This window comes from Homo sapiens, chromosome 21 (genome assembly GCF_000001405.40).
Source record: "Homo sapiens chromosome 21, GRCh38.p14 Primary Assembly".
Taxonomy (NCBI): domain Eukaryota; kingdom Metazoa; phylum Chordata; class Mammalia; order Primates; family Hominidae; genus Homo; species Homo sapiens.
Genome location: NC_000021.9, coordinates 21,999,248 through 22,015,471, shown reverse-complemented (window position 1 = coordinate 22,015,471; position 16,224 = coordinate 21,999,248). Strand labels below are relative to the sequence as shown.

At 39.9% G+C, this 16,224-nt stretch overlaps 1 long non-coding RNA gene across 1 annotated transcript in view; it reads left to right on the top strand.

The window, feature by feature from the left end:
* Positions 1–6,314, top strand: part of LINC01687 (long intergenic non-protein coding RNA 1687) — an 89,302-nt gene extending 82,988 nt beyond the window's left edge. The window contains exon 6 of the long non-coding RNA NR_109959.1: positions 6,114–6,314. This is a non-coding gene — a long non-coding RNA (long intergenic non-protein coding RNA 1687). The remainder of the gene's footprint in view (positions 1–6,113) is intronic.
* The last annotated feature ends 9,910 nt before the right edge of the window (positions 6,315–16,224 follow it).

Here is a 16,224-nt window from a genome sequence, read left to right as displayed (position 1 = left end):
TGGAGTTTTAGCTCAGGTCCGACTTACAGTGGGTCCAGTGGGTCCCTGGACTCATCCTATGGTCATTTTCCCTGTGCCAGAATGCATAACTTGCATAGACATACTTAACAGCTGGCAGAACACCCACATTGGCTCCCTGACTGGTAGGCTGAGGGCTATTATGGTTGGAATGGCCAAAGGGAAGCCATCAGAGCTGCCTCTACCTAGAAAAATAGTAAATCAAAACAAAATCAATAGTAAATTAAATGAAAAACAATATGGCATCCCTAGAGGGATGCAGAGATTAGTGCCACAATGAAGAACTTGAAAGAGGCAGGGGTGGTGATTCCTACCACATTCCTGTTCAACTCTCCCATTTGGCCTGTGCAGAAGACAGATGGATCCTGGAAAATGGCAGTGGATTATGGTAAACTTAACCATGTGGTGACTCCAGTTGCACTTGCTGTGCCAGATGTGGTTTCATTGCTTGAGCAAATTAACACATTTCCTGGTACCTGCTATGCAGCCTTGTAAATGCCTTTTTCTCCATTCTTGTCCATAAGACCCACCAGAAGCAATTTGCCTTCAGCTGGCAAGGCCAGCAATATACCTTTATTGCCCACCTCAGGGGTATATAACTCTCCAGCTTTGTGTCATAATCTTATTCAGAGAGGCCTTGATTGCTTTTCTCTTCTGCAAGATATCATATTGGTCAATTACACTGATGACATGATGTGGATGGATCCAGTGAGCAAGAAGTAGCAAACACACTGGACTTATTGGTGAGACATTTGCGTGCCAGGGGATGGGAAATCAATCTGACTAAAATTCAGGGACCTTCTACCTCAGTAAAATTTCCAGGGGATCCAGTGGTGTGGGGCCTGTCAAGATATTCCTTCTAAGGTGAAGGATAAGTTGCTGCATTTGGCCCCTCCTACAACCAAGAAAGAGGCACAATGCCTAGTTGGCCTATTTGGATTTTGGAGGAAACACATTCATTCCTCTTTTGGGTGTGTTACTCCATCCCGTTTATCGAGTGACCTGAAAGGACGCCAGTTTTGCGTGGGCCCAAAACAGGAGACGGCTCTGCAACGGGTACAGGCTGCTGTGCAAGCTGCTCCCGCTTGGGCCATATGACCCAGATCCAGCAGATCCAATGGAGCTTGAGGTGTCAGTGGAAGATAGGGATGCTGTTTGGAGCCTTTGGCAGGCCCCCAAAGGTGAATCACAGCGGAGGCCTCAAGGATTTTGGAGCAAGCCCTTCCATCTTCTGCAGATAACTACTCTCCTTTTGAGAGACAGCTTTTGGCCTGCTACTGGGCTTTGGTGGAAACTGAACGTTTGACTATGGGTCATCAAGTCACCGTGAGAGCTGAATTGTCTATCATGAACTGGGGGCTTTCTGACCCATCTAGCCATAGAGTGGATCGTGCACAGCAGCATTGCATCATCAAATTGAAGTGGTATATACATGATCGGGCTTGAGCAGGTACTTAAGGCACAAGTAAGTTACATGAGGAAGTGGTTCAAATGCCCATGGTCTCCACTCCTGCCACTCTGCCTTCTCTCCCTCAGCCTGCACTAATGGCCTCATGGAGAGTTCCCTATAATCAGTCAACAGAGGAAGAGAATACTAGGGCCTGGTTCTGCACAATATGCGGGCACCACCTGAAAGTGGACAGCTGCAGCACTACAGCCCCTTTCTAGGACATTCCTGAAGGACAGTGGTGAAGGGAAACCTTCCCAGTGGGCAGAACTTTGAGCAGTGCACCTGGTTGTGCACTTTGCATAGAAGGAGAAGTGGCCAGATGTGCAATTATATACTTATTCATGGGCCATATCCAGTGATTTTGCTGGATGGTCAGGGATTGAAAGAAGCATGGTTGGAAAATTGGTGACAAAGAAATTTGGGGAAGAACCTCTCAGAGTGGTCAAAAACTGTGAAGATATTTGTATCCCCTGTGAATGCTCATCAACGGGTGAACTCAGTGGAGGAGGATTTCAATAATCAAGTGGATAGGGTGACCCCTTCTGTGAACACCACTCAGTCTCTTTCCACAGCCACCCCTGTCATCGCCCAATGGGCCCATGAAAAACGTGGCCGTGGTGGCAGAGATGGAGGTTACACATGGGCTCAGCAACATGAACTTCCATTCACAAAGGCTGACCTGGCTATGGCCCCTGCTGAGTGCCCAATTTGCCAGCAGGAGAGACCAACACTGAGCCCTCGATATAGCACCATTCCTTGGGGTGATCAGCAAGCCACCTGGTGGCAGGTTGATCATATTCAACTTCTTCCATCATGGAAAGGGCAGAGCCTTGTCCTCACTGAAATAGACTCTTACTCTGGATATGGGTTTGCCTGTACTGCATGCAATGCTTCTGCCAAGACTGCCATTGGTGGACTCATGGAATGCCTTATCCATACAATATTGCCTCTGACCAAGGCACTCACTTAACGGCTAAAGAAGTGCGGCAGTGGGCTTGTGCTCATGGAATTCACAGATCTTACCATGTTCCCTATCATCCTCAAGCAGCTGGATTGAAAGAATGATGGAACAGCCTTTTGAAGGCACAGTTACAATGCCAACTAGGTGACAATACTTGCAGGGCTGAGGCAAAGTTCTCCAGAAGGTTGCGTATGCTCTAAACCAGCATCCAATATATGGTACTGTTTCTCTCATAGCCAGGATTCATGGGCCCAGGAATCAAGGGGTGGAAGTTGAAGTGGCACCACTCACCATCACCCCTAGGGATTCACTAGGACAATTTTTGCTTCCTATTCCCATGACACTATGTTCTGCTGGCCTAGACTTCTTAGTTCCAGAGGGAGGAATGCTGCCACCAGGAGACACAACAAGAATTCCATTAAACTGGAAGTTAAGATTGCCACCTGGACACTTTGGGCTCCTCCTACTTTTAAGTCAATAGGCAAAGAAGGGAGTTACAGTGTTGGATGGGGTGGTTGGCCCAGATTATCAAGATGAAATCAGTCTACTACTCCACAATGGAGGTAAGGAGTATGCATGGAGTACAGGAGACCATTAAGACATCTCTTAGTATTACCATGTCCTGTGATTAAGGTCCATGGGAAACTACAACAGCCCAATCCAGGCAGGACTACGAATGGCCCAGACCCCTCAGGAATAAAGGTTTGGGTAACTCCCACCAGGGAAAAAAACCATGACCTGCTGAGGTGCTTGCTGAAGGCAAAGGGAATACAGAATGGGTAGTAGAAGAAGGTAGTCATCAATACCAGTTATGACCATGTGACCAGTTGCAGAAATGGGGACTATAACTGTCATGAGAATTTCCTCCTTCTTTTGTTAAAAACATGTTTGTGCATGTATACACTTGTACTAAGAAATCATCTTTATTTTATTTCCTTTTCCTTTATCATATGTCATAATACTTACTGACTTCACGTCAGCATTTAAGTATTGTTAACTTTATGTAATAGTATTTGAGTTGGGGATTGGTGTGTTTCTGGTTGTATGAAGGATAGTTATAGTATGTTAGGCATAATTAGGACCTTATTATTGTCTTTATTTGAAGATTATGTATGATCTCAGATGTGTATGAGTTCAAGTTGACAAGGGGTGGACTTGTGATAGTTAATACTGTCAACTTGATTGGATTGAAGGATGAGTCAGTGGGCTGGAGAAGGCAGATCTACCATTTATCTGGTTGGCACCATCTAATGAGCTGCCAGGGAATATAAGGCAGGCAGAAAAACGTAAAAAGGAGAGACTGGTCTAGCCCCTCAGCCTACATCTTTCTCCCATGCTGGATGCTTCCTGCCCTCAAATATTGCACTCCAAGTTCTTCAGTTTTGGGACTTGCACTGGCTCTCCTTGCTCCTCAGCTTGTAGACAGCCTATTGTGGGACCTTGTGATCATGTAAGTTAATACTTAATAAATTCTTCTTTATACATATACATGTTCAGATATATATATATGTATATATATCCTATTAGTTCTGTCCCTCTAGAGAACCCTGACTAATACAACATGTAAATGAAATAAATATTTTATTAAAATTAATTCATATAAATTATATTCTGTATCTATATAACAAAAGCTGAAGCTTGTTGGGGTTTTTATAGAAAAAGCATAATATAAGACTTTTTCAGATGCAGACATTTTATAACCTGGATACTCTAGAAAAATAGAGGTAAAGCTTAAATGCAAGTATTCAATGTGGGTGCAATCTCATGGGACTCACTTTTGAAATCCGTGCCTTAATTGGCAAAGAGATGCCCTTCTATCTTTTGCAAGCACAAATATTGCCTGTGTTTCCTCTGGAGAGAATAACATGCCTGTCTTAGGGCACCAGGCAATGGTAGAGCTAGCCAATGCTATTTACTGAACAAAAAGCTCAGGGAGCAAGTGTGATCAAGCCAATCTAAGGCAAGTAGAAAGCATGTGCAAATGGCACCAAAAGTATACCCAATGCAAAGTTTTTAGTTTGATGTGTTTTTGTTGTTATTTTACTTCTATATTCATCCCAATAGTGAATATGCATACCCAAAATTTAGTGAATAATTTTTAACCAGGCAGTTTACATTGCTTCTTCTTATATATAAAGGTACAATTTTGATCAATGCACTTTTATAAAACAATTTGATGTGTATAGATAATATATGTCTACCTTTGTAAGTCCTTCAAAGTTGGTCTATTCGTAGACTCACCCTTTTGTGCACCAGAACCCAGAATAAAATTGGAATCACATAGTGTGGAATGAGGATAAGTAGCACATACCCCATCCTCTCACCACAGCACAAAAAACCATACTGGTGGCTGGGTGGCCTGTGGGGCAGGCGGAAGGCTTGTGTTCCAGTGCAGAAACTCCTCCGTGTTGTTTTTCTACAATCAATAAAATTAAAGTGTCTACAATTTTGACCAATATTTAACACAACCCTTAAAAAATGTAAAATATATTGACATAATTACATTTAAAAAGACAGATAAGGCCTCAATATTTAAAACTCAAGCACATTAGATAATTGTGTTTATTCTATATTGCTATGAGAAGGTAAATTAAAAACACACTTCTTTACAAAATGTATGTCTATCCATTTTTTTGGCCAAGTTTAAAATCTATTAATAAAATAGAGTAGATAAATTATCTTATAAATGAAGTAAATACTACCTTTTCGCATCAATTCTTTGAATAGTTTACCAAACCAGTACTTAAAATATTTTATGCTTTCAAATAAATAATTTAAGTAAATTAATGTTTCACTTCACATTTCCAAAGTAAGCTTGGCATTGACCTGGATTATAAGAAAGAGTTCTAATTTTCTTAATAAATGTTATATTCAAGTACACATTAGATTTGTTATGAAAAGAATTTTGACCTACTTTACCACAGCTGTGTTTCATGAAGTCTATAGACATTTTTCTAATATATAGTGAATATATTGCAAGAATGTATACCTACAAATTCAATGTACTAATGTAAGATTATGCAGGCCACTAAAACTCAATTTTTAAAATTAATAAATGATAGAGGACTTTTTCTTTTCCCAGAACAAAAAATAATAATGCTTAATATCAAAATGCATGTAAATATAATATCAAAATGCATATAAATATATGTTTATAACTACACACACATATCTCCTTACTAAAGCCAATGCTTCCAAAGTTAAAATATATTAGTGATTGATACAAGGTGATATAAGTATATGTATGGAATATCATATCTGATATTTTTATCTTGTAATTACAATTTTCATAGTATTCATGAGTCAGTCATTTACAAAATTAATTATATGTGTTAGGTACCATGTAAGTTTCAGACCTATATCTACCTGAATTTTTAGTTGTGTTCAGAAATAAAATGCATTTCCCTTGATAATGTCATACTTGCACTCTTGAGAAATCTTACATGATCTAGAAAGGTCTTAAAACTTTTGTTTCAATGAGGAACTGAGGGGTCAGACATGCAATAACCAATTTTATTAAATAACTTCAGTAACAACCATTTCATTATTACAATTATTACAAGAAAATCCAAATTATCTAGGTCAAAACTGAAAAAATAAAAACATCACTTTCTTCATTTCTCTTCAATCTGCAAACAAACCTCTGTCACCTCTAGCCCTGATCTTACTTTATTTTTGTTGCAGGTCATCCTACATTGGCCAAAGGAATAAAGAAGAATGACAGGGTTAATGATGGATATTTGAATTATTCTGATTTTTCTGACGTGCAAGGTGTAGATTCCTTTTGTTAGTCATTCAAACCAACAGCAGCTTTAAGTATGTAATTTGTGATATCTAATTAATCAGTCATTCATATCCAAGGTTATAAAAACTCATACTGTACAATAGAGACTTGTATCATGTATAAAATAAGAATGTAATGTTCTTTTAGCACCACCCAATTGGTGGGTCTGGAAATAATGACTTCTCTGACGAGTCCAAATTAAATTGGAACAAAGGTAAAAGTTCTCTCCAGGAGGCCAGACAATGAAGAACAGGCAGTTTCTTACACATCTCTACTTTAATTATAGCAAATGGCCCATCTGCTTCAAAACCAGAAGTAGGCAATGACTTCTCACTCCTCTGCTTGAATTTCTCGCCCTCCGCCTATCTTCGTGATACTATAACACTGTCTAGGTATTATCGCATTTATAATGATGTATTATAATTTATTTGATTATTTATTTATTTATTTATTACCTCAATTTGATGAATTATTTAAGGGAATAAAATACACTCTACACTTGTTTACTCACAGTATCTTGCATCTGGGCCATCCCTACAGGAATAAAGTGCCCTGGGAAAGTTCAGTTTGAATCTGTTCAAGATAATAATATTTGCGGGAAAATAGGCACTGCTGGCATCTTCAATGGTACTTAGACATCATAAAAAAAAAATGGAAATCAGACGCAAGGCCATAGCCCACATTCCCAAGCTCTGGGCCCAGAAAAGTCATTCCAACATCAGTATTTTTTATAGCTCACCAAGTCTAAGGTGTTTTGTTATACTCATACAAATGTACTAAGACATACATTGGTACCAGATGTGAGATGTTGACATTACAAATATGAAAGCAGTTTTGGGACTGGTTAAAAGGTAGAGGCTTGAAGAATTTGAAGGTGAGTGCTGGAGGAAGCCTAGATTGCTATAAATGAAATGTTAAGGGTTGTTTTATTGTGTGCTCAGAAAAATAGAGCTCTAGACAGAGTCTCAGTCATCCCAGAGATTACCTAAGTGGTTGTGATCATAATATTGGTAGAAATGTGAATGGCAAAGGCAATTCTGATGAAGTCATAGAAAAAAATGAGGAACAAGGTATTAGAAACTGAATAAAGGCCTTTCTTTACTATAAAGTGGCAAATAACTTGGCTGAATTGTGTCCACATCCTAAAACTTTGTGGAAGGCAGAATTTGGAAGCAATTAATTAGGATAGTTAGTAGAAGAAATATCTGAACAGAGGGATCAGGGGCCTTCATGGCTTCTCTTTATTGCTTATAGTAAAATATTAAAAGAAAGAAGCAAATTAAAGATGAAATGTATAATCAAAAGGGAAGTGGAATGTAAAGATGTGGAAAATTCTCAGCCTGAACAGTTTGTAAAAAGAAAGAGGGCACGTTCATGACAGAATACCAACAGTGTGGCCAAATTACTCTTTTTTCTTTCTTTTTTTTTTTTTTGAGATGGAGTCTTGCTCTGTCACCCAGGCTGCAATGCAGTGGCATAATCTCGGCTCACTGCAAGCTCCACCTTCTGGGTTCACGCCATTCTCCTACCTCAGCCTCCGGAGTAGCTGGGACTACAGACACCTGCCACCACGCCTGGCTAATTTTTTTTTGTATTTTTAGTAGAGACGGGGTTTCACCGCATTAGCCAGGATGGTCTCGATCTCCTGAACTCGTGATCCGCCTGCCTAGGCCTCCCAAAGTGCCGGGATTACAGGCATGAGCCACCGTGCCCGGCCCCAAATTACTCTTGATAATGAAATTAGTATGGATAGAAGGAAGCCAGATTATATTCATCAAGACAGTGGAATAATGGCCCTGAAGGCATTTTAGATGTCTTAAGGCTGCCACTTCCATCACAGGACAAGAGTGACAGGCAGAACAGTTTCAAGACAGAGCCCTAGGGAGCTCATGGTACCTCAGAGCTCATTACCTAGGGCCATGTCGAGTTTCGCTTCATGCATTCCTGTGCAGTGTTCTTTGGCCTCCCCAGTGTAGTGTAAGGAGGCCCAAATGCAGCTCAGCCTATCACTATGCAAAGCAAATGTGGTAAACCTTGGCAGAATGCAAGTGGTGCTAACTCTGCAGCTGTATGGAGTGCACAAACTATGGAGACATGGCTCTCTCCATCTAGACTTCAAAGAATGCCTTGAAGAGTCTCTGGACCCAGGCAAAGAACTGCCACAAAGTATGGCTGCCACAAAAGCCTCCACTAAGGCAATACCCATTGGAGCCCCTGGTTCAAGTCCACTGAGCCTTAAATTCAGGGATTCTGCAGAGAAGCCCCACAAGGGCTATGTGTAGAGGAGCTCCAGGAGCAGTGCCACCCCCATGACCCCAGAACTGTAGGGCCACCACATGCAATTCTAGCCTAACAGAGTTACATGTACTGAACGCCAGCCCATGAAAGATGCATCATGGGTGGCACCAGGCAAAGCCATAGGCTAGGGTCTTCTGGAAGCTTGTGGACCCAACCCCACCCTAGTGTGTCTGGAAGGTGGGACCTGGAGTCAAAGAAAAGAATTCTCAAGCATCAAGGTTTAATGTTGTTTACTTTGTGATTTCGTACTTAATTCCGATCCTCCTTCTTTCTGTTTTTCCCTTTGAAATGGAACTAACTGTCCTGTGCTTGTCTCACCATTGTATTTTGAAAGCACACAACTGTTTGACTGTACTGGCTCACAACTGGAGAGCACTTTGTTTCAGAATTATTTTGTACCTTGTGTCTCACCTATATCTGATTTAGAGATGCTAGATGTAAGACTTTTGAGTTGATGCTGTAACAAGTTAAGATTTTTGAGGGGTACTGGGATAAAATATATGTTTTTTGCATGTAAGTAGGACATGAGTTTGGGGATCCAGAAGTGAAATTATGTAGTCTGAAAGTTTCTCCTAAAATTTATATGTTGAAACTTAAGAAGTGGGACATTTAGAAGGTGATGAAGCCATGAGAGCAGGGCCCTAATAAATAGGAGTAAGGCCCTGATAAAAGGGCTTGAGAAAGTAGGTTCACCACTTTTTTCCCTTCTGCCATATGAGGATATGGTGTTTCTCTCCTCCAAAGGATGCAACAACAAGGTGCCATCTTAGAGCAAAGACCAGGCCCTCACCAGGCACCGAAACTGCCAGTTCTATGATCTTAACACTTCCAGCCTCCACAACGGTGAGAAATGTGTTTATGTTGTTTATAAATTATACAGTCTCAGGTATTTTCTGATACGAGCACACATAAATAAGACACCAAGGTATTTTCAGAGTTGATTCCTGCTGAGGACCGTGAGGAAAAATTTTGTCCAGCCTCACCTCATTCCTTGGCTTGTAGGTGGCTGTCTTCTTTCTGTGTCTTCACACTGTCTTTCCTCTGTACATCTGTGTCTAAATTTCCTCTTTTTTATAAGAACATCAGTGATACTGGACTACGGCCCACTCTAAAGGCCTTATTTTATTACCTGTGTAAACACCCTAACTCAAAACATGGTCACTTTCTGAAGTACTGGTGTTAAGACTTCAACATATAAATTTTTCAGCTCATATCAATGGCTAAATCAATTCTATAAATGCCTTATATCATAAATAGATTTTACTGAAAGTATCTGGAAATTTGCAGTAGATACTCTCTGTTCTGATAACAGAGTCTCAGTTTTACTGGTTGGCTGCTAAAGAAAATTATTTAATTCCATTCCCCAAGGAGCACGTCTACACAATGTATCTTAAAATGTTTATTTTGGACAGGAATGCAAAGCTGCTATCACCTTATAACATCACATTTTCACTTACTCATGTGCAAAGCCATATGCAAGATTTTAGAAACATACTCGCTTTGGGTTGTAAAACTCATAGTAAACCTGCTAGTCCTGTTGCCCGAAGAGAATGTCTATGCCGTCTCCTCTTCTGTCTTCTGGATACTTTATTTTGCGCATTAACAATTGATAATGTTACAAATACTGACAACTGCTCTTTTTAGAATCACCTATACCAAGTAGTATATGTGCTTTTAAAATCTCAAATCCACATCTGGCTAGAAAAACGTGTTAGAAATATCTAGACACAGCATTTAAAAAAATTTTACCTGCCTTCCACCTTTATTTGCTGATGGCATTAAAAGAAATGATTGTATAACTATTGCTTCTACCTGGATAAAATGCAATTATGGTGTCTTATAATATTAGTTAGCTATGTCTAAATAAATATAACTATGTAACCAATAAAACAAATAAACTGCTAAAAAAGTGTCAAAGAATCATATAAACTATAAACCTACAAAGCTTTCAGCCTTCCCAATAGGGAATTGGGCCTTAAGAAATGATAGCAAACACGCAGTGCTTACTATGTGCCAGGCACTCTTTGAAACTTTTCAAATATATGGTAGCTATAAATCCATGTCATCTTTACACCTATCTTAGTAAGGAGTCCCTATTATCATCTCCATTTTACATATGCGAAAACAAAGGCATAGATCAATGAAGTAATTTATCCAACATCAGCCTAGTGAATAGACAGCTGTGGTCGAAAGAAACTTTAAAGCAAGAAAGTCTGACCCCAGAATTAAGAATCTTAGCTACTGCATATACTACCACTTATTAGAACCAATGAAAAGGTGCTGAATGGTTAAGCACGTTGACCCGTGATCATGAGACCCGCATTCGAACGAGCTTTATCACTCATCGTCTGCGTGACCTTTCTGTTTCTCAACATATTCTTAGCATTCAGCCTTAACCAAACCCTCAATATCTACCCAATGCAGAGCCTCTTCTTTGGTGTTGCCAGCTTCATTCTTGTTCATTCTAAATGCATCCCATAAAATATATTATGGCTCTCACTTAAATAATAATGCCTCTCACCTATTGTGATAGGCAAAAAAGTGATTATAAATTCAAAGAGCTTAGCATCATTCTAATCACAGGGTAAGCACTCAATAATCCTTAGCTATTATTACCAATACCTTTTTGTAATTAGTGCCACCATCCTATGATTACAATTACTACTATCAGTACTGTTGATACTACCAATAAACTTGAATTATATAAGATTTAACCCTTTTCTTGTTTAGAAATAAAAAAGTGCAGCTCACTGCCAGTACTCATTTAATTTTACGTAAACATGCTCTTTGAAGCTAAACCAAATCTAACTGATTTTCAATGAGGAAATAGAATATAAAAACTGTTCTTGGAGTTATTCGTAATCAGAACTAACATCAGAATCATCTGAATCATGAGAATCATCTATTTTGGAAAAATCAGATTCATCAAATGAATCTTCCGCGAACAGCTGTTCGAGAACGATGTTAACAGCACGAGAAGGAGCTACGTTTTCTAGGAGTTGACATTTTCAGCAATTGAGAATTACTGTATTTTGTAAATTGAAATACCACTACTAAAAACAGAATGCTATAAATAGAATGATGTCTTTTGTTTCCAAAGTCAATAAACTACAGCGATGCCAAAGTAACAATAAAAGCAAGATATATCGTGGCAAAGTTATCTAGAGTGCAAGTGCTGCCGGGGAGTATTCTCTGGGCAAACGAGTAAAGGGTTAACATAAGCAGTTAGTCTAAATGTTGTTTAATGTAAATTTTCTACTGTGACTTAATGTTCAGTACAAAATATAAACTTTATACATATAACCATGATACTTAAAAGATAGAAAAATGTGTAAGTCAAAACTTCAGAGAAATGTCATCGTTTTAGAGAGAAAAAAAGAGATTTCCTTGCATTGCCTTCCTTTTCCACCAATTTTGCCTCTACTGCTTTCCTGGAGCAAGGGGTTCTTTGTAGACTAAGAAAAATAAAAATGCTATTTTGGCTGGATTCCCAGTACATTACATATAAAGGAATTTACTTTACTAATTTATAGTTTCCCAAAATTGTACTTCCAAAATTTTGTCAATTTGGTGGAATTCCTCAGATACTCTTATTCTTGTACTTTTTAATTATTTTTTCATTGCTACCATATAACTCAGTAAATAATGACAATAGATAAACAAATTTAGAGTATTCCTTATTTTGAACTTTAAAAACATGTAAAAATTATCTATTGTTGACACAATAGATTAATTAGAAAAATTAGAAAAAATCTCTGATTTTTAAGGATACTTATACCAAAAATGGTATACAGAAGTTTAAAAGAATCAAAAAACAAAGATCGTTTTTCCATTTCAAGTATTGAATGTGTGATTTAAAATAAAATATGAACAAAATAAGTACACCACTAAAGTTGTAATCATTATTATTATTATTTATTTATTTTCTGTTTTATTTTGAGACAGAGTCTCACTCCCTCTCCCGGCTGGAGTGCAGGGGCGCAATCTTGGCTCACTGCAACTTCCACTTCCCAGGTTCAAGCAATTTTCATGCCTCAGCCTCCCCGAGTAGCTGGGACTACAGGCGTGTGCCACCATGCCTGTCTAATTTTTTGTAGAGACAAGGTTTTACCATGTTGCCCAGGTTGCTCTTGATCTCCTGAGGTCAGGTGATCTGCCAGCCTCGGCCTCCCAAACTGTTGGGATTACAGACCATAACATATTATTTTATTTAGGATTTCAGTCTTGGAGAAGCATAAAAGCAATTTATATCACATAAAAGTTGCTTAAAAAATAAATAGTGGCCGAGTGCTGTGGCTCACGCCTGTAATCCCAGCACTTAATTAATTTTTTTTTATTTTAAGTGGTTCAGCATTAGAAATCAATACAATATTTAAATCTTAAAGAGCATTTTTATTATCCACATTTTTTAAAAAAACAAGTAATTTCTGAGTTGGAATTTCACCAAGAAGACCGCAGGAATGACATGCATGGGAACCATTCTGTAATGCATTGATAGGTACTGAAGAAAGTATACTTTCTTCTAATTAGGGTATGAGCAAAGAAATTGCAACTAACTGTGGAATTATAATAAGAATAGGATCAATATCAGTGGTGTTAAATTCTGCAATATTATAATATAGAGACTGAATAATGTCACTTGTGTATCAACTATTCTCATGAAATAGGTAGAAGACTGATATGGTTTGACTGTGTCCCCACCCAAATCTCAACTTTAATTGTATCTCCCAGAATTCCCACGTTGTAGGAGGGACTCAGGGGGATGTAATTGAATCATGGGGGCTGGTCTTTCCTGTGCTATTCTCATGATAGTGAATAAATCCCAGGAGATCTGATGAGTTTATCAGGGGTTTCTGCTTTTGCTTCTTATTTTTCTCTTGCCACCACCATGTAAGAAGCTCCTTTCGCCTCCTGCCATGATTCTGAGGCCTCCCCAGGCATGTAGAAGAGTAAGTTCAATTAAACCTCTTTTTCTTTCCAGTCTCGGGTATGTCTTTATCAGCAGTGTGAAAACAGACTAATTCAATAAATTGGTACCAGTATCGTGGGGTGTTGCTGAAAAGATACCCGAAAATGTGGAAGTGACTTTGGAACTGGGTAAGAGGCAGAGATTGGAACAGTTTGAAGGGCTCAGAAGACGACAAGAAAATGTGGGAAAATTTGGAACCACCTAAAGACTTGTTGAATGGCTTTGCCCAAAATGCTGATAGCAATATGGACCATAAAAACCAGGCTGAGGTGGTCTCAGATGGAGATGAGAAATTTGTTGGGAATTAGAGCAAAGGTGACTCTTGTTATGTTTTAGCAGACTGGTGGCATTTTGCCCCTGCCCTAGAGATTTGTGAAGCTTTGATCTTTAGAGAGATGATTTAGTGTATCTGGCAGAAGAAATTCCTAAGCACCAAAGCTTTCAAGAGGTGATTTGTGTGCTGCTAAAGGCATTCAGTTTTATAAGGGAAGCAGAGCATAAAAGTTTGGAAAATTTGCAGCCTGACTCTGCTATATAGAAGAAAAACTCATCTTGCAGGAGAAAATCAAGCCCACTGCAGACATTTGCATAAGTAGCAGGTAGCCTAATTTTTTGTTGTCGTGTTGTTTTGTTTGTCTTTTTTTGAGATGGAGTCTCGCTCTGTTGCCCAGGCTGGAGTGCAGTGGCGTGATCTCAGCTCACTGCAAGCTCCGCCTCCTGGGTTCACACCAGTCTCCTGCTTAAGCCTCCAGAATAGCTGGGACTACAGGCACCTGCCGCCATGCCCAGCTAATTTTTTGTATTTTCAGTAGAGACGGGGTTTCACCGTATTAGCCAGGATGGTCTGGATCTCCCAACCTCCTGATCCGCCCACCTTGGCCTCCCAAAGTACTGGGATTACAGGCATGAGCCACTGCACCCGGCCTAGGGAGCCTAATGTTAATCCCCAAGACCATGGGGAAAATGTCTTCAGGCCATGTCAGAGATCTTCATGGCAAACCCTCCCATCACAGGCCCTGAGGCCCAGGAGGAAAAAGTGGTTTTGTGGGCTGGTCCCAGGGTCCCTGTGCTGTGTGCAGCCTAGGGACTTGGTGCTCTGTTTCTCAGCTGCTCCAGCCACACTGAAAGGGGCCAACACAGAGTTTGGGCTGTGGCTTCAGAGGGTGGAAGCCCCAAGCCTTGGCACCTTGCACATGGTGTTGAGCCTGCAGGTGCACAGAAGTCAATAATTGAGGTTTGGGAATCTCCATCTACATTTCAGAAGATGTATGGAAATGCCTGGATGCCCAGGCAAAAGTTTGCTGCAGGGGCAGGGCCCTCAAGGAGAACCTCTGCTAGGACAGTGCAGAATAGAAATGTGTGGTCAGAGCCTCCACACAGAGTCCTTACTGGGGCACTGCCTAGTGGAGCTGTGAGAAGAGGGCCACCATCCTCCAGAGCCCAGAATGGTAGATCCACTCACAACTTGCACCATGTGCCTGGAAAAGCCACAGGCACTTAATGCCAGCCCATGAAAGCAGCCGGGGGGGAGGCTGTACCCTGGAAAGTCACAGGGATGGAGCTGCCCAAGACCATGGGAACCCACCTCTTGCATCAGTGTCACTTGTGTGTGAGACCTGGAGACAAAGAGATAATTTTGGAGCTTTAAAATTTGACTGCCTTGCTGGATTTCAGAATGGCATGGGCCCTGTAATCCCTTTGTTTTGGCCAATTTCTCCCATTTGGAATAGCTGTATTTACCCAATACCTGTACCCCCATTTTATCTAGAAAGTAACTAGCTTGCTTTTGATTTTACAGGCTCATAGGCAGAAGGGACTTGCCTTGTCTCAAATAAGACTTTGGATTGTGGACTTTTGGGTTAATGCTAAAATGAGTTAAGACATTGGGAGACTGTTGGGAAGGCATAATTGGTTTTGAAATATGAGGACATGAGAATTGGAGGAGGCGAGGGTGGAACAATATGGTTTGGCTGTGTCCCTACTGAAATCTCAAATTGAATTGTGTCTCCCAGAATTCCTACATGTTGTGGGAGGGACCCAGGGGGAGGTAATTGAATCATTGCGGCCAGTCTTTCCCGTGCTATTCTCATGATAGTACATAAGTCTCAGGAGATCTGATGGGTTTATCAGGGGTTTCCACTTCTGCTTCTTCCTAATTTTCTCTTGCTGCTGCCATGTAAGAAGTGCCTTTCTCCTCCGGCCACGATTCTGAGGCCTCCCCAGCCATGTCCAATTAAACCTCTTTTTCTTCCCAGTCTTGGGTAGTATTTATCAGCAGCATGTAAGTGGACTAATACAAGGACTAAGAAAAGGAAATATTTGAAACCTATAAATATAAGTGTATTTAAAAAATATCCTCATACATACTTGCATAGTAGATAATGAGAAGATCTCATTAAAAGTGAGCCAAACACGAAGTCTATCTGCAAACAAAATGAAGAAAGGAACTTAAAGGATGAATCAAGTTAAACCAGCAGTCCTAAATTTTGGCAACCTGTGCCGTTTTCTAGACACCTCTCCTATTTGCTGAGATGTTGGCGTCTTGTTAACTTTGCGGTCTTGATCTAGTCTGTCAGTTAACAGTTATTGAAAATACTGGCTAAACCATTGCTTTCCAAATTATTTGTAGTGGAGAGCAAATATCCTTAATTTTCAATTCCACAGAGGCTATTACTTGAGTACAATTTAATAAAAAATGAGAAACTCCAAAAAAAAAGAAAGGAAAAATCTATAAATATAAAAAC